Raw genomic sequence first — 26,247 nt, 5'->3', positions numbered from 1 at the left:
ACTGTAGTTTGTTATTATTTACTCATTAATCTGATCCTCCCTTTGGAGGGGGATCCTATCTGTTTTAGCAATCTGCCCTAATAATTACCTGAAATTGTTTGCTTGATACCCTTTTGATATCAAGTAATATATCTTCTTATTTATGTGCTTGTTATTTATGAGTTCAGCATGTTTGAAAAGTTCACTTAGTGTTTCTGGAGAAATCCTGCCCATTTCTAGTGTAAAGCTAGAATGAACTTCCTGTCTTCTAGGGTGGAGGTCAGTTTTTCTTCTAATTAATCCTGACCAGTCTTGAGAAGGATGTGGTAGGAGAGGTTTACAAGGTCAAAAACAGCAGTACTGTCTGCAGGCGCAGGTTCAGGTGTTCTCGGGTTCCAGTTATTATACAAAACATTTAGTATATGTTCAGAGAAAAAGTAGGGAGGAATGATGGAAAAAATAAAAACAACCCCCATGGAAAGAAAACTGAGGCATCGTATTTGACTTTTTCCAGGCTAAGCCCAAAAGCAATGATGTAGTGAGGGGGAAGTTTGTATTTCCATTTTGCAAAAACGTAATTTTTTTTTCCTCCCGGGATTTGATAAGATTTTGATAAATTCTTGTGAATTTAATTACAGGGAAGTAAATCCTACTGACTAGTAAATTATCAATTTGTTTCTCTTTTCTCACAAAAGAGAAACAAATTGATACCCTTCACATCATCCGGTAAGGTTTATTTTTTTCTGAGAAGGCCATAAGCCCTAACGGCTCAGAATCTAAGAGACCTTCGCTGATTGTCATCGCCTAGCGGCCACCGCAAACCTTACAGTCAATCAACTTCCCTCGGACGCCCGGATCACGCCCATTGCTCAGACCACGCCCACTCAAGGCGCCTCATGGCTCCGCCCCAGGCCCAGCAGAAGAAGATTCTCATTGGTGGAGAAGTTGTTCTGATCCCGCCCCGGAGGACGGCGATAGGCTGAACTGGCGTGGGGCGGTGGTGGTTGGCTGCTTGAGGACGGGTCCCTGGTCGTGCCTGTCAGAGAGGCTGGCGGCAGTGGTGGCTCTCCCGGCTGGGTTGTCAGTCAGTGAGAGGAGGGGGAAGATGGCTCACCGGGACCCGTTCTGCTAGGAAGAAGGGGAGCAGGTGGTGCTGCTACTCGGGAGGAAGCAGAGCAGCCTCCGTCGCTGTCGCTGAGAGCCTCACGAGTCGAGGTCCTGCAGGTGGAGCTCCGGCAGCCGCCCTGGTGAGTCCAGCCGAGAGACCCACGCCGGGCCCCCAGGGCGTCCGGCAACGGATAACTTTTTTTTGTCAGGGAGGAGCCGGGGCGAGGCGGCGGCGAGGACAGGACCGGGACTTTGTCCCTGGGGCCGCGGCTCCACTGGGGGTAACGGCTCCCGCGCGAGGCGCCATGGGTGGGTGCGAGGCGGCGCGGGGCGCTGGGGGCGGCTGGCGGGCGGGTGGGCTGCGGCCGGCGCTGCTCGCCCCGAAGTTGGGCGCAGCCTGCCCGCTGCCTGGAGGGCGGCAGCTTTGTGCGCGCGACTCGGGTCTTTCCTTCCCGGCGAGGAGCAGTCCAGCCTCCTGCTGTGACCCGGGTGCCGCCGCCTCGGCCCCACCGGCCGCCCCTCTGCCGGGTGGGCCTGGGGCGGGAGCCCCCCGTCCCCTCCCTGCCGCGGCGGATGCTCTGGCCTCTGCCTCCTCTCCCACTCGCGCCCTCTACTTCGGCGAGGCCGCCACTGTCCGTCCGGTCTGGTGGCCACAATGGTCACTGTCGACCCCCCGCCCTCGCCCCCTGGAGAGCAGCGTTGGCCCGAGTCGGTCTTTGGTCCCCTGCAGGGCGGAGAGGTTCAGACAGCAGCCACGCTTCCTTCCTTGGTTATTTCGCTGAAGATCTCTTCTTGAGCCCTTGCCCCTTCTTTCTATGAGTTATTCCTCTCCTGAGGCTCATTTTAACATACTCGGGAATCCTCGGGGGTTTGGCTGAAAATGGTTGCATTAAAACACCCCCAAGTTTGTACGCTTCCCCGAAATTTGCTGTCTGCCCGTCAGCTTGCACATGTGTGCTTTGTGAGTTTAGACATTCCTGAAAGATTTTAATTTTGCCTAAGTGGTTTAGTACTGCACAGAATCTGCTCTCTGAGAAATACACTATCACAAGCCTGGCAGCCGCGGCGCTCTTCAGGTAGGGGGAATTTGTTCCACCGGCAGCTACTTCTTATCTCAGAGACTGCCCTACAGGCAGTAGGGCCAAGCTGACCTTTTGCAAATTATTTATCCTTGGATCACACAGTAGTTTTTGGAGCAGGTGGGCCACCTCTTTGGTTCATGTAACACTTTACAGTTTGAGGTTTTCAGCTTTCAAATCTTATTGCCATAAAGTCAGAAAGACTGGGAGGCTTGTTTTCCATGAAAACATTCTACTGCTAACATCCACAGGCACCCCACCTCCCCCGACATTTCCAAGTATTTTTTTTTCTTTAGGTGAATACATTTTAAGGTTTACAGGATGAATAGTAGTCTAAACCACCATATTTTTGAAGTGCAGGCAAAGACAAGGAAGGAAAAACATTTAAGATCTGCTTGGCCAATAGTGGCTTCAAAGTCAGCTATTCAAATAATCAGTTCAATCAAACCAAGTGGCAAGGGGGAAAAGCATCACATATTTAGGAAACAAATTCTGGATTTGGCTCGTTTATCCTTATTCGATTTATTGAAATTACCATGAGGGATTAGAAGGATTAGAAACCTTCTTAGTCATCGGCATTAGCAGTACCTGGATACAGACACCCGATAAGGCATTAGCTGGGTCAGCGTTTATCCTTGCTCTGCTTCCTTTCATTGTTGTATTTCTGTTTTATGAAATTTGCTCTGGGTTGTATTTTTTAGACTGGTGTCTTTGACGGTGAGTTTAAATATATGTACTGTTTTATTCAGCATCCTGTTGCCTAATATTTATTTTATAATGGATCTTAAGAAATTTTAAGAAATCTTAGTATTCAAGACCTATTTTGGGGTATCGTTTATATTTTATAAATGATTGAAATTATATCAAACATAAATTTATTTTTTCACTCTTCCAGGCTGAGTAGGTACTAGGGATACAGAAATGAATGTCATAGCTCTTGTCTTCAAGGAATTTACTATCTAACATACAAGATGTTAGTAACATTACAGTAAATTAACAATTATAATACTATGTAGTCAGTGGGAATAGAGATATGCCTAGTGTAGTAGGAGAGTTTAGAGTAGGAGATAGTTAACTTGCCTTGAGTGTAGGTGGAGTTGGGAGCACACAGCCAAGTTGTGAAGGATGATATGATTTTGCCAAGTGCAGGAGGTAAGTAACTTCCCAAGAGGAGGATATAGTAATTGAGAAGGCAAGGAGGCCTGAGAAACTGTGGCAATTTAGATAAGTCATTGACAATGACGAGTCAGTGTCAATTGACATTGGCAGTTGACAAAGTCAATAACATTGACATTGATATGGCTTGAATGCAGGGGTTAGTAGGAAATGGTGCCAGATGAAGATAGTGAGGGTGGTAGAGGGCCAGATCAGGGAATGGTATCCTTAGCTAAAGGGATTGGATTGAACGTGATAGATGAGAAGCCATTTATTGGATTTGTATTTTAGACCTTTACTGTGGCAGAGTGAGGGAAAAACTAACAAGTCCTAATCACCTATGAGAAGAAAGGAGGACTCAGGACTGTGAAGGTTTGACTTGGGGTTCTGTTGATGGAAATGAGGAACACAAAAATGGAAGGAAGATGATAAATTCTGTTTTGGCTATTTTGAATTTGAGGAAGCAGTGGAACTTCAGGCGAAGATATAGATAGATGTTTGTATCTGTGGATGTGAAAATCAGGATTAGAGAGATGATTGGGGGTTGAATTGAAGCTATATTGATTTAGTTGTGATGAAATGACTCAGGGAAAGCCTTTAGCCTGGTGAAAGTGGCAGCCAGAGAACAGACTCTCATAAATAGCAGAAGTAGGAAGAAGAATTGTCTGAAAGTTAGAGGAATAGTAGCTAGCAAGGTAGGAGGACCATCAGGAAAGATGCCAAGGGCGGGGAGATTTTCCAGTGGAGGAGGAACAGGTTAACAATTTTGAATGCTGTAAGGAGGTGTCAAGTTAGGAGAGGGCCCCAGTGACCACTGAATTTGTCAGGAGTCCATAGGTAACTTTAACAAGAACAGTTTTAACTGAGTGGTGGTTCAGAAACCAGGCTTCAGAAGATTGAGAAAGAATGGGTGTGATAAAGTAGACATGCTTAAGTGAGACTTTTCAAGAGAACTGAAATAAAGAAGGGAGAAAATGATAGCTATAGCTTTCATTGAGTAGTGGTTCTCAATCTTGGCTGTGCATTTACAATAATGTAATAATAATTTACAATAATCTCAGGAACTTTAAAGAATTTTGTTTTCCAGAGGGAATCCCTATACCAATTTGGTGTGGGGGGGTGTTGAACCCAGATATCAATATTTATTTCAACAGCTTTTCTATTGAAGTGTAATTGACATATAGTATACTACATATATTTAAAGTGTACAATTTGATATTTGACATATGTTTATACCTGCAAAACCATCACCATAATCAAAATAATATTCACCTCCAAAAGTTTCCTGTGTGCCTTTATAATCTTTTCCTCTTATCCCCAGGAAACCACTGTCTACTTTGTGTCATTATTGATTACTTGCATTGATACTTTTTTATAGTTTCTTAAGTAATTCCAGTGTGCAGCCATGGTTGAAAACCATTGCAGAGTGATATTGTTTGAGGGAATGTTATGTTTGTTTGTTTACATGCATAAGGAAAGAGTGAGTAGAGACAAGTAGGAAGAGATTCTTAAGCAATTCAGGAAATGAGATAATTATTGGAACTAAGACCCTGAGGAGATAGAAGTGAATGGAATTCAGAGCTTTGGCTAGTAAGAAAGGAAGACATTCCTGGAAGCAACATCTCTAAGAATATAATGTTAAAGACAGTATATTTCTTTGTTATCATCATCAAAGTTGGCATATAGTATCCAAATTGGTTCCCTGAAGTACTTCTGAAGTACTTTAAAAAATTAGAGAGCATCTTAATATTGTGAAAATGGATACCCCTCAGAACAATTCCTTAAATGGAGCCTGAGATCCCTGGCATCATCATGTAATGCTTTGTCATTTTTTGGAGGGGAGCAGATGGAATTAGCAGTTTGACTATTGCTTATTGTTGAGAGCCAAGTCCTGCCAGAGTCTTTTTGCCCTTCTCAGAGTTAGGCTGCATATCTGCACTAAGGAAAAAGAACATTTAACACTTGAAAATCTCCTATTTAAAGTATCTTTGCTCAGAAGAAATCTTGTTTGCTTGCCCTTTGGATATATGCCTTTTAAATACACTGGAGGATAAAATCATTCCTCTGTCTCCTAAATGAGACAGAGAAGAGTTGTGACTAGAAGTTCTCAAAGGCTCACATTTTCTATCTTGAGAAAAGTAATACCTATCCTCACCTCACCACCTTTTTTTTTCTTTTTAAAATTTCTGGCTCAGGATTTGGATATAGGAAAAATCTGAGTCCTGCTGGTTCTGAAGTCCAGGGCTTGTTCCTCAGCCTTGACTCTTGGCTTTCATAGGGGGCTGAAAACAGAATAGCTTATCCAAATATTATTTGGCATTGTAACTTGGTCATAAATAGAGAGGAAGTGAAAAGTTTTGTCTGATTGTCTTCTAGAGTTCTGAAAATTTCTTTCATTGTGATAAAGAATTAAAGTATGATTCTTTTCTAGAGAGGAAGGCATCCCTAATTTTGGTGCAGCCTAAAAGAGTGGAAATATCAATGTTAGCATGATATTGGTTATTATTATTGTCACAGCCTTATTGTAAACATTCTATAGTTTCTTAATTACTAATATAATAATCATTGTAGGAAATTTGAAAAATTCAGGAAAGCATAAATGGTAAATAACACTTATAATGTCTCCACCCAGAGATACTTATTTCCTTTATGAAATATCTATTAGTGTCCTTTGTCTATTATAATACTGGAGATTTTTAAAAACTAAGTTACGAGAGCTCTTTATGTATACAAACTATTAGGCTTTTGTCAAATTACATTGCAAATAATTTCCCTAGTTTGTCATTTTTATCTTAATTTTGTTTTTGATGTGAATTTTCTTTTTAAACAGATTGCTAACATTTTAATGTGTTTAAACCTATCAAATTTTTCTTTTATGATACCTCACTACTTAGAAAGGGCTTGCATTTCCAAATTATGTGACTATTCACCTCTGTTTCCTTATATTAATTTCACAGTTTTTAAAAAAATTTACATCTTTAGTCTATTTGCAGTGTATTTTAATGTAGAGTGATGGTTCAGTTATTTTAATGCTGTTTATTGAACAGTTATCGTCTTCAGAGGTTTTAAATACCAAATCATGTGTGTATACTCTGTCTGTCTATAGATATGGATATATGACTTTTTCTAGGTTTTTCTATTTAGTTTAATTGGGCTATTTCTTTTTGCTCTAGTAATTCCAAACTGTCTTAATTATTGTGAGTTTTTAATGTATTTCACTAAATGGTTTTGTGAATACTTATTATTGTCTTTGTCAAAACATTTTCAGTATTTCTCATGTATTTCTTTATTCATGTTACATTAAAGGCAGTTAGGATCCTAAAAGAACCTCACTGGAATATCTGAGTTAATTTTCTAGAGAAAGTTGTACTATCTCTATTAATACAATGTTATCATTTATTGAAGTCATCTTTTATGACTCAAAGATGTAGTTTTGAGTTTTCTTCATGTATTTTATAGTTTGTAGTTTTCTTCATGTGGGTTCTGCCCATTTTTCAAGTGGTATATTTGATATTTTAAAACTTATTGATTCTATTGGGAATGGAACTCTTAAAATTATTTTATAAAGAGGATTAAGTGTACCTGATGGAACATAGAAAGATGGCTAATTCTCGTATACTGTTTTCTAACTGGTCATTTTATGAAACTCTTAATTCTGATAGTTTTTATTGTGTTTTGTAGTAACTAAATTATAGCATGTGTAAAGCGCGTGAATGATTTTGTCTTCTTGCTAACACTTAATCCTTATTTCTTTTTCTTAGGACATTGATCAGAACTTCTAGAATAATATTAAGTTATAGCAGTGAACAGTGAGGATCCTTGGCTTATTTCTCATTTAAATGGAAATGCCTTTAGGGTTTCACAGTTGTGTGTTCAAAATTTTTATTTATGGTATGTTAAGGAAATAGTCTTCTATGCCTTTTCAGGGGGAACCAAGATAGATATTCAGTTTGATCACATGCCCTCTTAATGTACCTTGAGATGATCATATGGTTTTCCTTCTTTTACCTATTGGTTGATGAATTGTGTTAGATTTCCAAGTAGCTTTCATCAAACAGTTGCTGTTTTAGGGATAAAGGCAACTTGATAATAGCATATCTCTTTAAAATAGTGCTATATTTGATTTGCTATATGAGATTGATCTTTAGTATTCCTTTTGTATTACCTTTTTAAGGTTTTGATTTCTGAATATGCCAGCTTTGTAAAAAGAGAGACTGAGAGAGAAGCTTTCCATGTTTCCATTTTTGCATGTGCTCTGGCAATTAATCTCTTCCTTGGAAGATTTGAAATAGATTGGCTCTAAAAATGTCTAGGTCTTTTTGGACTGAATACAATTATAAAGATCTTAATATGTGCTTGTGTACTAAGTATTTTGCATAATTAATTTCATTTAGTCCCTATATAACTTTGTGAGGTGAAGATTATTATTTCTATTCTACAGATAAACTGAGACTCAGAGGTTAAGACAGTCGTCCACCATCAATAAAGTACACAAAGTTTAAACTCAATTTCTATCTGATGTAATAGCCCATGTTTTCTAATCAGTACCGTAATGTTTTTCTTAATTAGGACTCTTTCTTCACCCCATATTACTGAGAAGTAAATTTAATCATTTTATTTGAGCATCTTATTAAGTATTTTTCCTCTTTGCACACTTAGTTTTAATTTTTGGTAACCCTGTTATATTATCACTGTTCTGTTCTGTGTTGATGTGTCATCTTTTGCTATTTTAATAAATACTGTGATCTTGGAGTGAGGTGGGATAGGGTGGGGGAACTTAAAATTGTTGTTCATATAATGCACTTAATATAATTTACATTTTAATTCGTTGAGTGTTCAAGATCAATTTGCATTCCTGAATCTTGTTTGTACCTTGTAAGAATGTTATGTTAAGTGTACCACATACAAGAGATCAAAGAGTTTTGGAAACACAGTACTTTTCCATTTTAGTTTGAATTATTTTTGTTGTGAGCCTTGCATCAGGGTAGCTTTTTAGTAGTAATGTTAAGTGATATATGTTTGGTGTGCGTTTTCTTGAACAAAGAGTCTTTTCATAGTTGACAAACATTAGTTGCTTTCTCATATAAATACATAGAATTCAGTCATTTGTACTTGACTTAATGAAAACATAATATATGAGTTATTAAACTGTACCATGAAGATTAGGTTTTAGCTACTGGAATATTTATATTTACTATTATGTTGAGTGATGTATAGGCTTGGAAATTTAAGAGAATAATGTAAGCCTTAAAAGTGCTTAAATTGGCCGGGTGCGGTGGCTCATGCCTGTAATCCCAGCACTTTGGGAGGCCGAGGTGGGTGGATCACGAGGTCAAGAGATCGAGACCATCCTGGCTAACATGGTGAAACCCCATCTCTACTAAAAATACAAAATAATTAGCCAGGTGTGGTGGCAGGCGCCTGTAGTCGCAGCTACTTGGGAGGCTGAGGCGGGAGAATGGCATGAACCTGGGAGGCAGAGCTTGCAGTGAGCCAAGATTGTGCCACTGCACTCCAGCCTGGGCCACAGAGCGAGACTCCATCTCAAAGAAAAAAAAAAGTGCTTAAATTGGGAAAGCAGTCATAAACTCTATATTTATCTTTTTGAACTCTTCTGTTCCCTCCCTTTAAATATAAATTAACATTTAATTAATTCAGTTAGGGTTTTGGTTATAATCAGCACACCCAGACTGCACTCCCCATTCCCTTCCTATGGGGACAATCTGACCCTCTTAAACCTGCCAGACACATGCATGCTCTTTTGTTCTAAATTTCAAGGTTCCTGCTGATTTGTTAATCAGTATATGTCACAGTAGTGGACAAGGTGACAAATAGCCCCCGCAGCAGTGTACACATTAGTAGTTAAGAAAAGGGAGAGACTGTTTTGGAAAATCATGAAACTTCAAGTGAGTCCTGATAGGGAAATGGAGAGGAAGGTGAAAATATTATAGAAATGGATGGGGGAAGAAGGGAAGATAAAAATGTGTAAATCAAATAGATTGTTGGAGAAATATAGAAAATTGGAAGAATGGTTACATGGGTGGTAGAACCAGAATATTCAAGTCAGTGAGGTCAAGAAGTAGAGTTTCAGAAAGGAAGACTCTTGCTTCAGGTTACAGAAGAACAACCACCATAGAGAAAGAGCTGATAGAGTTGTCATTTATAAGGTCATGGAGAGTAGATGATGAGACCCAAATTTATACTGTAAAAGGGGTTAAGGAATAAATTGATGGTGAGCAGCTGGAAGTGCTGGTAGTAGATTAAGCTACTAAATCAGAAAGTTAATCAGTGAAGAGTAAATAAGGATGGAGTAACTAGGGCATTAGAATCTGATGAAGCCTTACTCCTGTGCCCCCTCTTTTCAGAACTATAAGATCATAAAATACATTCTCAATTGTCCAAATGATTAATATTTTGTTAGTGATACTTAGAGGTATCATTCATTGAGTACCTTTTGTTTGCCAGTGCTTTATTTGCATTATTTTTAATCCTTAAAACATCCCTAAAAGACAGATGTTATTATCTATCATTCACAGTTGAGGAAACTGGGACTTAGAAAGTTTAAGTAACTTGTTGAAAATTGGCCCGGGTTTTTTGGACTCCAGAGTCAGCATTCTTTTCATTATGCCATGTTGCTTCCTTTATTTATTGAGCTATATTAAAACACTGGGGGCTTATAAGAGGAATATAGGTGGGATTCCTCTGCTTGTAGAAAGTAGTAGAAGAGGCCGGGCGCCGTGGCTTTCACCTTTAATCCCAGCACTTTGGGAGGCCAAGGCGGGCGGATCGCGAGGTCAGGAGATCGAGACCATCCTGACTAACACGGTGAAACCCTGTCTCTACTAAAAATACAAAAAATTAGCCGGGCATGGTGGCACGTGCTTGTAGTCCCAGCTACTCAGGAGGCTGAGGCAGGAGAATCGCTTGAACCCGGGAGGCACTGGTTGCAGTGAGCCAAGATTGCACCATTGCACTCCAGCCTGAGCGACACAGTGAGACTCCCTCTCAAAAACAAAACGAAACAAAAAAAGCAGTAGAAGAGAAATCCTAATTATGCTTGCTGTAATTTGTGTTGACTATATTTTTATTTAAAATGTTTTTATAAAGGGAATCCTTCTAGTAAGCTTCCCTACTATACTTATAATATCTAATTTTTAACAATTGCTGTTATTTGGAGATGAGATTTTTTTTTTACCCATGATAATGATGGGTTGAGAGGAAAGGAAGGACAGGCCAAGAAAAAGCATGTAAAGAAAAATAAGACTAAAACTTTTTGTTTTCACTATGAGAACATCAAATATGTCATACAATTTTAGGTTGCACCTCAGAAAGGCCAGCCTCTTCATGGAAATCATATTGAGCTAGTCACAAGATGGTAATTAAAGCAGATGCTCTCCATGTCACCAGATTATAGAGCTCCAAAGAATTTATTGTAATACAGTGTGATTTACTGAATTTAGGTTTCATCAATCAGGAATTAGTTATTGGTGAAAGGGTCTAAGCAGATGTTTGGTTTTTCTATAATAAACCCTTTCTTCAAAAACAATGTGTAATTGAAAAAGAAATGCTTAAAATACTTTAGGGATTAAACAATCTTATAGGACTTTCAATTACTTTGGGAGGAACCAAGATAGAAATTTTTGCTCTGCTAATTTTAGCCTCACATTCAGCTACAAAACAACGTCTAGGTTACATTCTGCTATACTAGTATAAGACAGTATTATTGAAAACTTTATCTTAAAAATAATTTTATATTTCAGCCTCTGCTAAAACAAATTGACTCTTAGCCCAGTTAATATGAATCAGCATGGTCATACTGAACTATTTATTTCTGCTTTGGTTACTATAATGTTTTTAAACCAAGAAAAACAACTATATTCATAATATCCACATAGTTTCTGATTGGGGAGAATCAAATAGAATTTTGTACAGTCAAGATCTGTTGTTTTTATTATTATGGCCCTATTAGCACACATTACCACCATTAACTGTGTTTACTTACATTTTCTCATTGCACTTCCCTCTTTGCCCTACTATTTTCTGTTGAACATCTGAGCCTCTATTGGCAGACCTCATTAAAGGCTGAAAGTCTCATTCCAACATATTAAAGGGCAGCGACTCCCTCTAAGACATTAACTCCCAACTTAGTTGGAATTTGATTCTCTTAACATTTCTGTCTTTCTTTGTCCCCAACATTGTAAAAAGGAAAGCACTTAGAATGCAAAGAACTTTAAGGAATCAAAGTAGAGCTGTGCTTTGGAAACCATATTTCCATATGCTGTTATGTTTGGGAGAGAGGAAAGAGGGGTTATTGATAGCAAAATGATTGAAAGATAATGTTTACATTGGGCTTTCTTTTACATTCCTCCTCATTTTTTCTCATAGCATTTATTTATTTTATTTTATTGTTTATATTCTGATTTACCTTGATTTGTTTTAAAAGGACTTAAGGCACACTCATTTCTGCTGTTTTAGGTTTATTTGTCTCTCCTAATAGACTGTGAATCCCCTAAGTCAGCTATGTCGTATTCATTTTTGTAAATCTAGTATCTAGGACATAGTTGGCATTTAATAGTTTATGAATAAATGGATGATATTTAACCACCTTAATATAAGAAAAAAAAAGAGCCAGGCTGGTTGCTGAACCCTAGCTTACTGCAGCTTTAGTGGTATTATGGGCTGCATTGTGTCCCATCCAAAATTCATAAGTTGAAGGCCTAACCCCCAGTACCTCAGAATGTAGCATCATTTGGAAATAGGGTCTTTAGAGAGGCAGTTAAGTTAAAATGAGGTAATTAGGATGGGTCCTAATTCAGTATGATTGGTGTCCTTGTAAGAACAGGAAATTTGGATAGGCTGTATAGAAGGAGGACAATGTGAAGACATAGGGAGAAGACCGCCATCTATAAGCCATAGGGAGTGACCTGAAACTATTCTCTCAGAGCTCTAAAAAGGAACCAACCCTCCTGAATCTTGATCTTAGACTCCTAGCCTAGAGAACTGTGAGAAAATAAATTTCTGTTGTTTAAGCCACCCAGTCTGTGGTACTTTGTTACGGCAGCCCTAGCAAACAAATATAGGTGGCTTTTATACTTGGATGTAGCAAAATCTCAAATACCCTTAATTTGCCTGTTCCCAAGAAATAGTTTGCCAAGGCTAATGTCAAAGCCTCAAAAATTTATATACTTCCCCTAGGTAAAACATGGAAGAGAAAAATTTGGATAGCTTAATGAAGAAAGTAATAACTATTTGCCTCCTCCTTCACCTTTCCCAATACAGCCAATGGCAAGCAACTGGCTAATTCCTTAATTTAATTGAATTTGTTTAGTTTGGCAAGGAGAAAGTGTTTACAGGGTATTTGTGTTCCTAGGTGTTCAAGAGCCTCTCCCTGGTTGCTTCTTCATGGTAGAAAATGGAAGGGGAAGACTAAATAAAATACTTTTTAATATGATGTTGATTTGAGCTAATTGCTTGTGTATAATCTTAGTCACATTATTTTACTTGTGTTATAGTCAACAGGGGCAAAACAGTATATCTTTTACATGCCCATTGCTGTGGTAGTTGCTGTACCCTTTGATCATCAACTAGTCATACTGAGTTGCCACAGTGGTTTTTCAGCATTTTTCATTACATGCTGTAGCCGCAAACTATATGTATATATATATATATATATATATATATATATATATATATACAATTTTTACCATTATTTCTTCTTGACAATTTTAATTGAGTTGTATATCAAGTAGTGCTGTGTTCAGTCAATTTTTATAGTGCTTTGAGATGCTTTGTGAAGAGAAAATTTCAAACATATACAAAAGCAAAACATTTGCTCTTTCATCGTTTGGAGGCAGTTTTCCCAGAGTTCTGAAAGTAGGGTAAACTAAATTAGAGAACTGAACAAAGGTCTCAGCCCCAGAATTAAAAAAAAAAAATGTTTGCCATAAAGCAAAGGAAACCAAAACCAAACAGAAAACCTCTGACTTAGGGGCAAATAAGAATTTTGGTCTAATTTTGGCATTTCAACTTCAGTCACACCCATGTTTTTGGATCACTCTTGTTACCAGTATGTAGGCACTGTGGTAAATACCAGTTGATAGATTTTTCTCATCTTTTTTCTTTTCCTTCATTCCAACTGAGAAAAATACTGCAACCACATGCTAGCAAGTGGCAGAGCTGGGTCTAAGTAAATTGAATACTTTTTCTCCAGTACCCTACCATGTTCTTTTACTACCCTATAGTTCTCAACCTGGCTGCCAAACACAATCATCTGAATAATTTACTTTTCCCTAGCAATTTATTTTAAAATGAAAATATCCTACTTTTCAATTTAGAATGAAAATATTAGGAAGAAGAAAAGAGTAAACCAGAGTAAATTATTTATGAGACAAGGGAAAGGTTTTGAACTGTTTTAGGTGCCATGGGTAGGGATTGCTGATAGCATGGTGATTAGAATGGGGTCTTTGGAATTGGGCTGCATGGGTTCTAACCCTAACTTAACCACTTTGGTAGTGTGTGATCTTGGGCAAGTTACTTCTTTAAGTGTTAGCTTTCTTTTTTGTGAAATAGAGGTTATGTTAATTTACCAGCTAGGATGGCTATGAGAATTCAATTAAAATTCCAATAAATCGCTTAGCATAGTGCCAGAAACATAAGTGCTTGAGGAATGTTAGTCATTATCACAACATTATCTATGGACATCTACCATTGCTATGTATGACACATTTGGTCACATTGAGTGTTTTCCAGACCATATTCCCAATGATGCCAGTTGTGTATGGACAGCAAAGGATCCCATGGTCAAATACATTTAGGAAAATATTTCATTCCAAATGCTTTTCTTAGAGATTAATAATACAGATTTAGCATATTAAAGGCTCTGAAAAGTCCTTTGATAAAAAAAAAAAAAACTTCTTTAACTTTGTCAAGTAGTTAGTTAAATTTTCACAAGGAAAGCCTTTTTTTTCTGCTGTCCTCCGAGGTCTGTCTTCATGTGGCTTCTTATGCAGATGTCTATCCCTCAGCTCTTGTAGCATGGTGGTTGCCTTCTAAGAGGGATTATTCAAGAGGACAGGCCCTAGGTGGAAGCTCTTATTAAGTCTCTCCTTGCAGCACCTTGCTAAATTCCACTGGCAAAAACATGTCACTTTGCCAATTCCAGCATTGATGTGGAGGAGGACTATACAAAGGACTAAATAACAGGAGAGATCGTTTGTTGAAGGTCGTAAATATAATAGTAATAGTGTACCACATATTTTTAAAAAATGTCCATGATATATTAGGTGAAAAATAATCAAGTTTTGGTAGAATGTGATTGTATTTTTATGTTAAAATCAAAATATAAATGGACTATGTATACATGTATGTGTATATGTGTATATATACATATGTACATGTTTTGATAGAGCAGATATATTTTGTTTGGTTGAGCAGATATCTATATAGATATAGATAGGTACCTATCTATATAAATATATTATTTGGTTGATATCTTTTTCTTGGTTGAGGAGATATATTTTGTTTTGGTTTAGATATACTGCTCAATATTTTTAAGAGTAGAGAGTTTTCAGAACTGCTGATTATATAGCATATGTGTAGAAAAAAGTTTGAAATAATATAAAGTTAACAGTATTTTCTTTTGAAGAGTGGGATAGCAGCAGTGAGAAGGATGATTATTTATTTTAATTATGTGGAAAAGATTTAAGTGTGGCCATTTAAAAAAATCTCCCGTAAAGAAAAATATTAGCAGGGATGGGAGATCGGTTTTCTCCCTAGGTGTTGATAGTTTTTGTGTATGTTTTATTTTCTTTCTTGGTGGAATTTTTATAATCTTTTATAGTTGCATAGTGAGCAGAACCCTTGTTTTAAACTTTTCATTGTTGATTTTGTGTATTTCTGATAATTTTCTCATGATGGCCCTTGCAATTATTCGTCTAGAAAATGTAAGGTGCTACCTTGACTTATTTTCCTCTCGTCTATTCCCTGCTTTTCCTTTGCCATCTGGATTACAATTGCCTTGAGGACACAGATCATATTTTACTATTCTTTTGCTAATGGTGCAAACTAATAGAAACACTTTGCATTATACTCAGCAGGCAATCAAGGGCTTGCTGAATTATTAATGTTGCAATTTGAACATATACTAGTATTGACTTTTTGCATATACGACCTCCCATTCTATGTTTGTTTTTGCTACTTCTGTTTCTTTGCTCTTACTCTGACTCTGCCCAGCCTACTGTCTGGATAAATTATATGAACGGGCTGTCGACTTGACATCCTGTTCAGTGAATATGTAGAAAGCATTTCTAATCACCATGTTATTTAATATGCAATTGTGTGATAATCATGTTAATGAATGTGATTGAGGTAATTATTATAGTTCAGCACTTTTACACTGATCTCTTAAAATCTGTTAACATAAACTTTATCATTTGTATGTTAGTTATCAGGGCTTACTGAAGTTTGATTCACTGAGGTAATACTTGAATCACTTAGTATGTGCTGTAATTATATTTTGTAAAAGGTGGTGCAAACATTTTGGAAAGCTTTATTTCAGCAATAACTGCTCTTGTAGATTTTTACCCAATATTAAATGTAAAATAATTTGTTTGTGATATTTTTATATTTAGTGAAATACATAACATATTAATGGACTTTTAAGATTTCTTATAACATTCTAATAAGAGGTTTTCTAAGTCAAGATTATCTGCATCAATCAGTCTTTAAAATAATCAGATGATGCTGTTTTGGTTCACAGATGCAGTGCCAGTTCTCTCCTGGCAGCTTACCTTGCCAATGCATGCATTTCATTAATAAGAGCCCCAAGTTTTTCCTAGGTAGGGTGTAAAAGCTGAGGAGTGAAAGGAAGGTAGAGAAGAGAAGCATAGGCAAAGACATGGAGCCTGGAGTGGCATGGATTATTTTGGAGAATAGTGTTAAGTAAAATTTGGATAGGTAAATTATGACCATATTTTAGGGAAAGTTTGATGTAGAAGATTTGTGAGGTCTGATGTCATGGTGTGTTCAGGAGAAAAGAAGTTTCAGCAAGATTATATGGCAGCAACATGCATGGTGCACTGGAAAAGGGAAGAAATCAGGAGCCAGAAGGCTGTGTGATCAGCAGATGCAGAGGAAATAAGGGCCCAGACTCAGGGCGTTGCTGTGGAGATGGAGAGCAGATGGTAAATTTGACGGGCATTATAAAGGGTGAAATTTATTCTTCTATTCAATAAATATTTATTAGATACTTGCTGTATGTTACTTATGCTTATAGTATCTGGACTGAAATTTGCCTGTAGTTACTAATACAGTTTAAAACTTAAAAATTATGTTATATAATTTTTATTTGAAAAAAATTTTAAAAAATGTTGAACCACTGAGTCATGTGCTATGTTAATGTCAATAAGAAGTGCTCATCGTAGTGCCATAGTTCCCAGAGATCTCACCATTCTGTCTGCTCTTATCTAAAAGAAATCTAAATTGTTAATAAATTGTACATGATCTTAGTCAAGGCTATTTGAATGCTGGCTCAAAAAAGAGGGAGAATATTTGCAATAGAAATCCAAGAGCAGTAACTGTTGGCCTCAGAAGTTTCATAGCATTCTGTTTGCTGCATTCTTTTGGTCAACATGGTTATTAAAAAATAGTTCTTCCTAACTTCTCTTATTAGAGTCCAAATCAGATATCCTTTCCCTGGAAAAAATGTTCTTCTGAAGTCCTGGAGGATCTTGTCTATGACCATACCACCTTGAACGTGCCTGATCTTGTCTGAAGTCATGGAGGATCTGAGAAGAACAGGAAGATAGAAATGGGAAATGAGAAGAAAGAACTTCTTACCTTCTAATTGTTCTAGCTTTTCCAACAGAAACACACTGGGCTGGTTGCCACAGCACACTGATATCCCAACATGATCTTATTTGTCCTTGGGGTAGGCAAAAGATGGTTTAGCCAAAAACCATTTTATAGAGTAAAAACCTATGTTCTATTCTTGATAATCAGACACTTGTTTTGTGATTTTTGGGGAAAATAGGCCTAAGTAATAGGCCTTTGGAAAGACTTCCCAAACCTCTCTTACTATGAATTATATTACTTCTCCTGGTGCCTTGAGAGGCAGCTTTATTTACTTGATGACCTAGGTAGGCAGTGAGGCATCAACACTTCTTTTTAAGCAACAGCACATATACTGTCCTCCTTCACAATTGATTGGTCAGTTTCTAAGCAGCAAAATCCTAAAATTAAATTAATTTTATTCTGTAACATAATCTGAACATTTCTCTCCATTCTGTTTTCCTGAAATTCACCCAGGAATTCTTGATAATCTTCTGGTAGCGCTTAATTTAACTACAGCAATGGCCTCATTGCATAGGAGAGAAGTTTAAAATTTCGTGATGTGTCACAATCCATTTATAGAAATTTGGTTGCTCTATAAATTTATAGAAACTTAAGCTTCATAATGATATATAAAACAAATGGTTATAAAAAGTTTTATAGTAGTTTGTCGTTAGTGCTTAATGGTGAAGGGGATGATGTAAAAGATAGGAATAAGGAAATTTTTAGAGTTTTACAGTGAAAGTTACAAATACTTTTAAAATATTCTTATAAAATAATTAAAATGTTATATGTCTCTGATGACAACACTAAAAGATAAATTTTGGTAATTGTTATTAATAACATAATGTGGGAATTGAAGAATAAGACATTTGACTTAGAAAGGTTTTATTGTACATTGAAAATATAAAAAATTAATGTTATACAGACTTATTGGGCTAGTGAAATACTACATAGACTCCTAGCAAGCCTTCTAATGTAATTTTAAATATTCTGCTCCGGAACATGTTTGGCAAAAATAGGAAGTTAGTTACACAGCAGGAAACATGTATTTTAATTGTCTCTTTTATCTTTGAGAAGAATAAAGTTTTTACAAATGCAAGTATATTTTGAATATTACTAGAGATGTCTAATTAGATTTATAAAGCTTGCAGAGTTATATAGTCAAGTCTTTGGCATAGATGTTAATAGGTTACATATTATATATGAAATGTGGGGGTGGGTTAGCAACTTGTAGAGAGCCTCTTGCTGCTTGCTGGTAGAGAGAAACAGTTTTTAAATCATTTTGTGGCCAGTTTGCTTTTTGTCCTATCTAAGCTTTACTGATACCTTTAGTCAGAACTGTTACTCATCTTGAAGCCCAGGGCTAATGGAAAGAATTTTTTTTTTTTTTTTTTTTTTTTTTTAACAATTGTACTGTACGTGGTAAGGACAAAGAAAAGCTTATGTCAGCTAGTAAACACTGTTGGCTTTTTAATTTTTTATTTCTTTAAATACTTATCCTACAATAGTACTCCAAACCTCACCATCACACAGTATACCCATGTAACAAACCTGCACATGTACCTCCTGAATCTAAAATAAAAGTTGAAATAAAAAAATTATCCTATACTTTATAGAATTCCATTATTCTCTTTCCTACATAATGCATTGATATTTCAGGATTCATTTTTAATGTTTGTATATTTTTGCTTCTTTTTTTTTTTTTTTTGAGACGGAGTCTCACTTTGTCATCCAGGCTGGAGTGCAGTGGTCTGATCCTGGCTCACTGAAACCTCTGCCTCCCGGGTTCAAGTGATTCTTCTATCTCAGCCTCCCAAGTACCTGGGATCACCTGCACATGCCACCATGCCTGGCTAATTTTTGTATTTTTAGTACAGAGGGGTTTCACTGTGTTGGCCAGTCTTTCTCAAACTCCTAACCTCAAGTGATCCTCCTGCCTCAGCCTCCCAAAGTGCTGGGATTACAGGCGTGAGCCACCGCACCCAGCCATACTTTCTCTTCTAAAGATATTCTTACTTTTATAGTTAAAAGGAACTTACCAGGGGCCAGGCACGGTGGCTCATGTCTGTAATCATTTTGAATGGTACTTGATATTCACATGACGTCGTGTTGATGTTAGCTTAGATCAAGGCAGTGCTTGCCCGGTTTCACCACTATACAGTTACTCTTTTCCTCTTTCCGTACTCTCTTTTTTTGCAAGTGAATAGCTATGTCCAGTGCACTCTCAATGGGGGAGCAAGGACTAAGCTCTACCTCCTGGAAGAGATAGTGTCTACATCTGTTACTGGGAATTCTTCCGTAAGGAAACTTTATCTCCTATTCTCTTATTTATTTAATCATTTATTTATATGAGTATGGCCTCATGTATGTTTATTTTATACTTTGGGTTATAATGCAGTACTACATTACTTGTTCTGTTGCTTGGATTGTTCCAGCTTTGGCCATTGGGTGTTCTTTCAGGTTGGCTTAATATTTAAGAGTATAAAGAGTCCCTAACCCAAATGTTTGAAAACAGGTGGTCTAGGCTATGATCATAGACTTTGATCGTAGGATTGAGTAGCTGAGGCAGATAGGAAGAAAATATTGTAGGAGGAGAATTCTAGGAATTAAGACTTCTAGGAATTTAGACTTCAGGTAAGAAAAAAAATCACCAAGATTTAAGCAGGAGTTGTTTGAAAGCATGACAGTGAGCTAGGAGCTAAGATCATCCAGAAATGAAGGGGAGGGACCGAGCAGGGCAAGGGCGTGGGGTGGATTGATTGATAGATGATGGTGATAGAGTTTCAAAGCAGCTTTGGGTGGATGGTTGAAGGAGGAAGAGAATGATCTTGAGTGGTAATAAGAAGAAAGGAGAACACCTACTTTACCTCTAAGCCCAGTGGTTTGTTTCAGGGATGTGTGAGGAAATGCAATCACTATTTGGTAAGCTTGCATGCAGGGAAACTAGTGTCTCATGAAAAGAAGAAAGCAACATTTGAAGAACTGTTGAAGATGTAGAGGATTTTGCTGGTAATAGACTGTAAATTCCAGAGGACCCATGGAAGTATATCGTCCTTCCAGAATTAGGATGGGATGGGAGATGGGAGCAAAACAGAAGATGTACAAAGAGTTATGATGACTAGTGTGTGAGATGAGTGTCATCTAGGTGTCTGTAGCTTCTTGTGGTGCTGGACATAAACAGAGATGAAGGGAATAAAGACTTTAGTCCTGGTGGACCTAAAGCAGACAGTGGTGGTGAGACTGTGAAAGTTTCAGGATAGGGAGGCATGTCATAGACTCCCTTTTGAGTTCTGCAGGAGACAGAGAAGTTTGGGGAGGAACAATTTTATTCTGAGCTTGCATGCGTGCTAAACAAGTGAGTGTCCATGTGAGCTCAGCTATACAATGAGGGCTCCCATTTGATCTCTATCAAGTGGAAGATAAGAGACCCAGGGCTGACTGGTGTTACTAATGTATAATATACATACAGAAAAATGTACAGTTTATGAAATGTTTAGCTTGGCAAATTTTCACCAAATGTATACACTTGAGTAACCAGCACCTAGATCAAGAAACAGACTGTTATCAGAACCGACAAGATAGGCCCCTCAAGAGCAGCCACTATCCCAACTTCTAACACAAATGGATTCGTTTTATCTGTTCTTGAAATTTACATAAATGTAATTATATAGTATGTACTCTGTTTTCCTGCATTCTTTTATCCAACACTGTAACACAGATATAGTTTATTCATTAAAAGTTATATTTTGTTGTATAGAATTTCAGATATTGTACAGTATACTGTAATTTATTCGTTCAACTACTGATGGACATTTGGTTTGTTTCTAGTTTTTGACTATTAAAAAATACCTGCTGTAGCCAAGCATGTGGTACACTCCTGTAGTCTCAGCTACTTGAGAGGCTGAGGTGGGAGGACCCCTTGAGCCCAGGAATTTGAGGCTACAGTGAGCTGTGGTAGCGCCATTACACTCTAGCCCGGGTAACAGAGTGAGACTCTGTCTCTAAAAACAAAACAAAAACAAAAGCCTATTGCTCAGATGAACATTTTCTGAACATAGCTTTCAGAGAACATATGTCCTCATTTCTGTTGAGTATTAACATGGGTAGAATTTCTGGGTTCGTAGAGTATATGTATATATCCTCAAGTTTAGAGGATATTGCTAAAGAGTTTTCCAAGATATTGTACCAATTTGCATTCACATTAGCTGTGTCTGAATATTGATTGCTCCATATCTTTTTCAACACTTGGTGTGATCTTTCATTTTAGCTACACATGCGTACGTGTGTGTGTGTATGTGTGTGTGTGTGTGTGTGTTTGTATGGTGTATTTCACTGTGGGTTTTAACTGACATTTCCCTGATGACTAACAAAGTTGAGCACGTTTCATGTGCTAAGTTTCCATTTGAGTAAGTGATGGTCTTGATTTCCTATAGGATTGTCTACCTTTTTTCTTAATAATTTATGAGTTCCTTATATATTCTGGATATGAGACTTTTGCCATGTATATGAATTGCAGATATCATCTGCCACCCTATGGCTTTGCCTTTTCATTCTCCTAGTGGTATCTTTTGGTGAGTAGAAATTCTTACTTTCAAGGAAGTCCAGTTTATCCTTTTCCCCTCCTTGTGATTAGTGCTTTTGTGCCTCTTGTTTAAGAAACCTTTGCCTAGCCTAAGATTATGAAAGTACTCTCTTGCATTTTCTTCTAAAAGCCTTATGGTTTACTGTTCACAATTAGATCTGTGGTCCAACTGAAACTGTTTTTATTTTTGCATACAGCATGATCTCTAGGGTCATGGTTCTTTTTGTCCTCCCCATGTAGCTATCCAAATAACCTAGCCCCATTTATTATAAAGAGCATCCTTTCCTCACTGAATTTCAGTGTCATTTTTGTCATAAATCAGGTGACCATATATGTGTGGGTCTGTTTCTGGCCACTCTATTCTGTTCCATTGGTTGTTTTCTATTCTTCTGACAGTGCCACCACTGGCTTAATTACTATAGTTTTTGGTAAGTTTTATACTAAGCTTTGCTGTTGGAAGTCCAGGTCCCACAGTTCTGTTGTTCTTCAAGACAGCCCTTGACTGTTCTTGGTTCCTTGTATATTCCTCTTGATTTCTTTTAATTTTTGAAAAATTAACCTTAATTTTAACTGGAGAGTTATTTTGAATTTTTGTAAAAATTTTACCTCCCCATTTCTATGTAACTTGATGTAGTGTGGTTCCATTTGTGATAACTTTCTGTCCTAATTTATTAAACAATGGAATTCATACAAAAGAAAACTTTTGTGCATTTATATTGGCTTTGCTTTACAAATATACATAACAACATAAAAAAAGTAGATACAGGCAGACAGAAAATAACAGTAAGACAAAGAGAATTGGTTATGAAACTCACAGTATTCATAATATAAAAACAAACAAGTTACTCCAAAGGAGAGATTTTCCTAGTACTGAAAACTTAAGATGTGAATTTTCTAGACTCTGTTGGCTTTTAAGGAGGATAAATGTCATCTAGCAGTGCTTTGGTAACATTTTGGACATAATTTCAAAGCCCAGTTTCTCCAAACAGACAGTTCTATAAAATCAATAATACAGTACATATATGTGGTTTTCTGTTAGTCTGACTTGATCCAAGGAGAAATATTTTTTATTTTAAAAATAAAATGCGTATTACCCAAGTAATCTTTTATGAGTGAATGAATGAATGAATGACCAAAAAATGTTTTAATCATGTTTTTTTATGAGAATTAGACAGCAGGAACCTTAGAATGTATTCTTTGACAAGAACCTGCGTTGTTCATTAAGGCATATCTGGATACTTTCGTAGACAGCTGAGCAGAGTTTATAAGAATTAATAATAATAATAATATTGCATAGTGATAATAGTTTGTTGCCAGGAATGGAAATAACTGCTTTTATTTGCATTTTAAAATGTACTCCTCACAATAACTCCTTGCAAATAGGTACTGTCATTATCCCTATTTTGCAGATTAAAAAAAAGTAAGGCAAATATATCTTACCCAAGTAAGTAATAGAATCAGAATTCATTTCTGGCTACTCTACCTAAGTTTCTACTACCTTATAATGCTGATGAAAATTAAGTAGCTTAATGAAGGATTTGTGACTGAATTTGGAAGTTAGGAAATTCAGATAGAGCTCAAGTTTTCCGTCAGGAAATAGTTTCCAAGTCTACTCCCATACAAATGGATAGGTAAAGAAAAATACGTTGTATTTTGACAAACATTTTGCTTGAGATAAAACTGTTCTGCATTTCCTTTAGCTTACTTCTTTAAATTTATACTTAAGTAAATCCCAGTCTTCTGCATCACTGTTGTCAAATATGGTCATTTTGAATATTGTCACTTTTACTTTTTAAAAAATGAACATTACACTTTCAAGAAACCACATGGCTTGCCTAGTTACTGTTGTAAAGAACTGAAATATAAGCAAATTAAATTACTTTAATGCTTTCTATAAAGTCAATTTTGGATGCGTGTCTTCTTATATTTTCACAATTTTGAAATATTTTCTGCTTTCTTTTAAGATAAATGATCTTTTTGAAATTATTTTATTGAAACTAGGGAAAAATGTCCAATATGTTTTGCAGCTGGCATTCCTGAAAACTAAATGAAAATTGGAGAGCCAATTTCATCATGTTATGATATTTATACTTTTGTCAAAATTCTTGCATTTTAAGGCTTGTTTGTGCACATTGGTTTTGAAATGAATTTAGTAATTTATGTTTGAAACTCATTTCACAAATATGAAGTAAAAACTTTATAGGATTATCTCTGTTCATAGTAATCTGACTAAATAAAATATATTCAAAACGTTAACATTTTTCTATGTTAATTTTCAGGTTGAAGGTTTAGAACAGATGTGGAAAAATGTTTACTTCAGAGAAAGGGGTTGTGGAGGAATGGTTGTCAGAGTTTAAGGTAATATTTACTGTTCTACTATAGTAATTATATTCCAAGGAAGTTTTGTCTGGCGTTTAAATTCCAGTGATTTTTGTATTTTATATGACTGAAAGGCTAAATATCTGTGGAAGTATTTTCTATCAAATCTCAATAGAGAGTTATTTACACATAGTAATCTTTTCTAGGAAATTGATTCCTTTTTTCCCCCAAGTGGTTCAAAGAGTTTATTCATTTGTTTATTTTCTTTCTTTCATGGCAATACCACAAAGTAGTTAAAGTCTCTGAATGTTGATGTCATTCTCCAGCGACCATCAGTGATTCATTGTCAAAATGTTTCTTCCAGTTTGGAGGGCAGTGGAACTGGGGTGACCAACAATGAGGAGAGGATGGGAAGATATTTGCTCAACTTTATACCAGTGAATCTTTCTCTAGTTGGCTAACCCAGTGGCTATATAAGGGGTGTATGACCTTTGATTAGTTAATGAAGAAAATAAAACATATTTTCTTGTCTCATGAGCTTTTCTCTAGGATAGCTAAAATAGTATTTCTTTAATCAGCTAATTACTTTTCTCTGTCCTTATGTGACACATAATTATGTGCACTTGCATGATCATGAACCACAGGAATGAAGAGTTTGGGCTGCAACTATCAGTTTGATTTTGTCCAGCCCAGTCAGCCCAAGACCTATAAGGACAAAGTTACAGTCTGACAAAGTCAGGCTTATTGGCTTGTTGCATTGAGAGAGATTGCCCAACAGACACCATGGGACCATCTCACCAAACCAAAGAAAAGATAAAATTATAGTAATTTGGAGGAAGGGTAGAGTTTAGGTGAAATTTAAATGAAACGGTATTCTGGTAGACTCAAAACAAAGCAGGGCTATTTATAATGGGGTGAACATCTGGTCTGGCCTTCAAAGTAGACCCAGGATCTTGTTGTCTTGAAAACTACAAAGTTAATGTAGATTTGAAATGTTATGTTCAGAAACTCCATATTTATATCTCTGCACCTGGGTTGAAAATCAAGGCTGCTTCTCTATGTCAAAGTGACTTCGATGCTCTAGGCAAGAGTGGGATGTTTTGTTCTTACTGATACATGTTCAACAACAAACTTTTTTATAATCTGTGATTTTAGATAACAAGTCATCTTAGTAAGTAAGAACTTAGTAGTCACTCAAAGAAGGAGATTGTTATGACATTTTTCAGTTGCAGTGTGTATTTAGGAAAAGCACCGTTTCCTGTTAATTTTAATAGCTGGCCTTATCTGTCTCTTTTATCTAATCCTGATGAATAGCTGGGCAGACTTTTACTTTCTCAGCTTTTATAGCCATGAATTGAGCATCCTTCTATGGATTCCCCAAGTCATCATGAAGTGACATTAGAATGTTACAGAAGTGCTTTCTACATATTTTAATAACTTGTGGCCAGATGAGGTGGCTTATGCCTGTAATCCCAGCACTTTGAGAGGCAGAGATGGAAGGATTGCTTCAGGCCAGGAGTTTAAGACCAGCCTAGGCAACACAGCAAGACCCCCTCTCTCCAAAAAAAAAAAATAAATAAATAAATTAGCTGGGCGTGTTGGTGCATGCCTGTAGCCCCAGCTACTTGGGAGGCTGAGTTGGGAGGAACACTTGAGCCCAGGAATTCAAAGTTGCAGTGAGCTATGGTGGCACCACTGCTGTCCAGTCTGGTGACAGAATGAGACTTTTGTCTCTGAAAGAAAACAAAACAAAACAAAAAACTTTGATTAAATCTTGTGTGTGTGTGTGTGTGTGTGTGTGTGTGTGTGTGTGTTTCCTGCTTGTGTTATCTTTGTGATTAAAATAGTCTGTTATCACGGCTTTTTTTTGGCAGATTGATGGAAATAGTCAAGTTTAACAGTTGAATGCTATTTCTTCTAGGGCATTCTTATGTTAATGATGAAGTAAAATATGCAAAAGCAAATGTCGACAGCTATCCATTCTTTAAGATGGGAGTTGTGGAAAGAGAGCATGTTAAAGGGTGGGTTGTAGGGGTGAGATCAGCTAGTAAGGTAAAAAATGGAAAACCATGACTGATCTCCTTCCCTTTCCATCTGTTTGTTTATTCCCTTCCCCTCCTGGTTTGGATATATAGACACCTAGGAAGTGCAGTACCGAGGAGTGAGGGGCAGAGCAGCGGTTAACAGCAGTAGTGT

At 36.9% G+C, this 26,247-nt stretch overlaps 1 protein-coding gene across 5 annotated transcripts in view, besides 7 other annotated features; it reads left to right on the top strand.

The window, feature by feature from the left end:
• Positions 691 to 870: an enhancer, noted in NCBI's record as "active region_25715". NCBI's record gives its function as "activates an Ori minimal core promoter by ATAC-STARR-seq in GM12878 lymphoblastoid cells {active_cell/tissue: GM12878}" and the evidence as "EXISTENCE:reporter gene assay evidence [ECO:0000049][PMID:35858748]".
• Positions 1,021 to 26,247, top strand: part of HYCC1 (hyccin PI4KA lipid kinase complex subunit 1) — a 118,288-nt gene continuing 93,061 nt past the window's right edge. For 4 of the 5 annotated variants that reach the window (XM_011515590.3, NM_032581.4, NM_001363467.2 and 1 more), the window contains exons 1-2: positions 1,021 to 1,226; positions 24,012 to 24,090. In XM_011515590.3, coding sequence (XP_011513892.1) covers positions 24,040 to 24,090 — 51 coding nt within the window. In that variant the 5' untranslated portion in view covers positions 1,021 to 1,226; positions 24,012 to 24,039. Of the gene's footprint in view, positions 1,227 to 2,084; positions 2,163 to 24,011; positions 24,091 to 26,247 lie in introns of those variants that run through there. The other variant, XM_011515589.3, reaches the window with a different exon arrangement.
• Positions 1,031 to 1,220: an enhancer, noted in NCBI's record as "active region_25714". NCBI's record gives its function as "activates an Ori minimal core promoter by ATAC-STARR-seq in GM12878 lymphoblastoid cells {active_cell/tissue: GM12878}" and the evidence as "EXISTENCE:reporter gene assay evidence [ECO:0000049][PMID:35858748]".
• Positions 1,411 to 1,680: a silencer, noted in NCBI's record as "silent region_18005". NCBI's record gives its function as "represses an Ori minimal core promoter by ATAC-STARR-seq in GM12878 lymphoblastoid cells {active_cell/tissue: GM12878}" and the evidence as "EXISTENCE:reporter gene assay evidence [ECO:0000049][PMID:35858748]".
• Positions 1,638 to 2,319: an enhancer, noted in NCBI's record as "H3K27ac hESC enhancer chr7:23052451-23053132 (GRCh37/hg19 assembly coordinates)". NCBI's record gives its function as "activates a minimal SCP1, AML or CMV promoter by ChIP-STARR-seq in primed H9 embryonic stem cells {active_cell/tissue: H9 hESC(primed)}" and the evidence as "EXISTENCE:reporter gene assay evidence [ECO:0000049][PMID:30033119]".
• Positions 22,103 to 22,182: an enhancer, noted in NCBI's record as "active region_25713". NCBI's record gives its function as "activates an Ori minimal core promoter by ATAC-STARR-seq in GM12878 lymphoblastoid cells {active_cell/tissue: GM12878}" and the evidence as "EXISTENCE:reporter gene assay evidence [ECO:0000049][PMID:35858748]".
• Positions 25,213 to 25,723: an enhancer, noted in NCBI's record as "NANOG-H3K27ac hESC enhancer chr7:23029047-23029557 (GRCh37/hg19 assembly coordinates)". NCBI's record gives its function as "activates a minimal SCP1, AML or CMV promoter by ChIP-STARR-seq in primed H9 embryonic stem cells {active_cell/tissue: H9 hESC(primed)}" and the evidence as "EXISTENCE:reporter gene assay evidence [ECO:0000049][PMID:30033119]".
• Positions 25,724 to 26,235: an enhancer, noted in NCBI's record as "NANOG-H3K27ac hESC enhancer chr7:23028535-23029046 (GRCh37/hg19 assembly coordinates)". NCBI's record gives its function as "activates a minimal SCP1, AML or CMV promoter by ChIP-STARR-seq in primed H9 embryonic stem cells {active_cell/tissue: H9 hESC(primed)}" and the evidence as "EXISTENCE:reporter gene assay evidence [ECO:0000049][PMID:30033119]".

The sequence above is a fragment of the Homo sapiens genome, chromosome 7, assembly GCF_000001405.40.
Source record: "Homo sapiens chromosome 7, GRCh38.p14 Primary Assembly".
NCBI lineage: Eukaryota > Metazoa > Chordata > Mammalia > Primates > Hominidae > Homo > Homo sapiens.
This window is presented reverse-complemented; position numbering and strand designations above follow the sequence as displayed.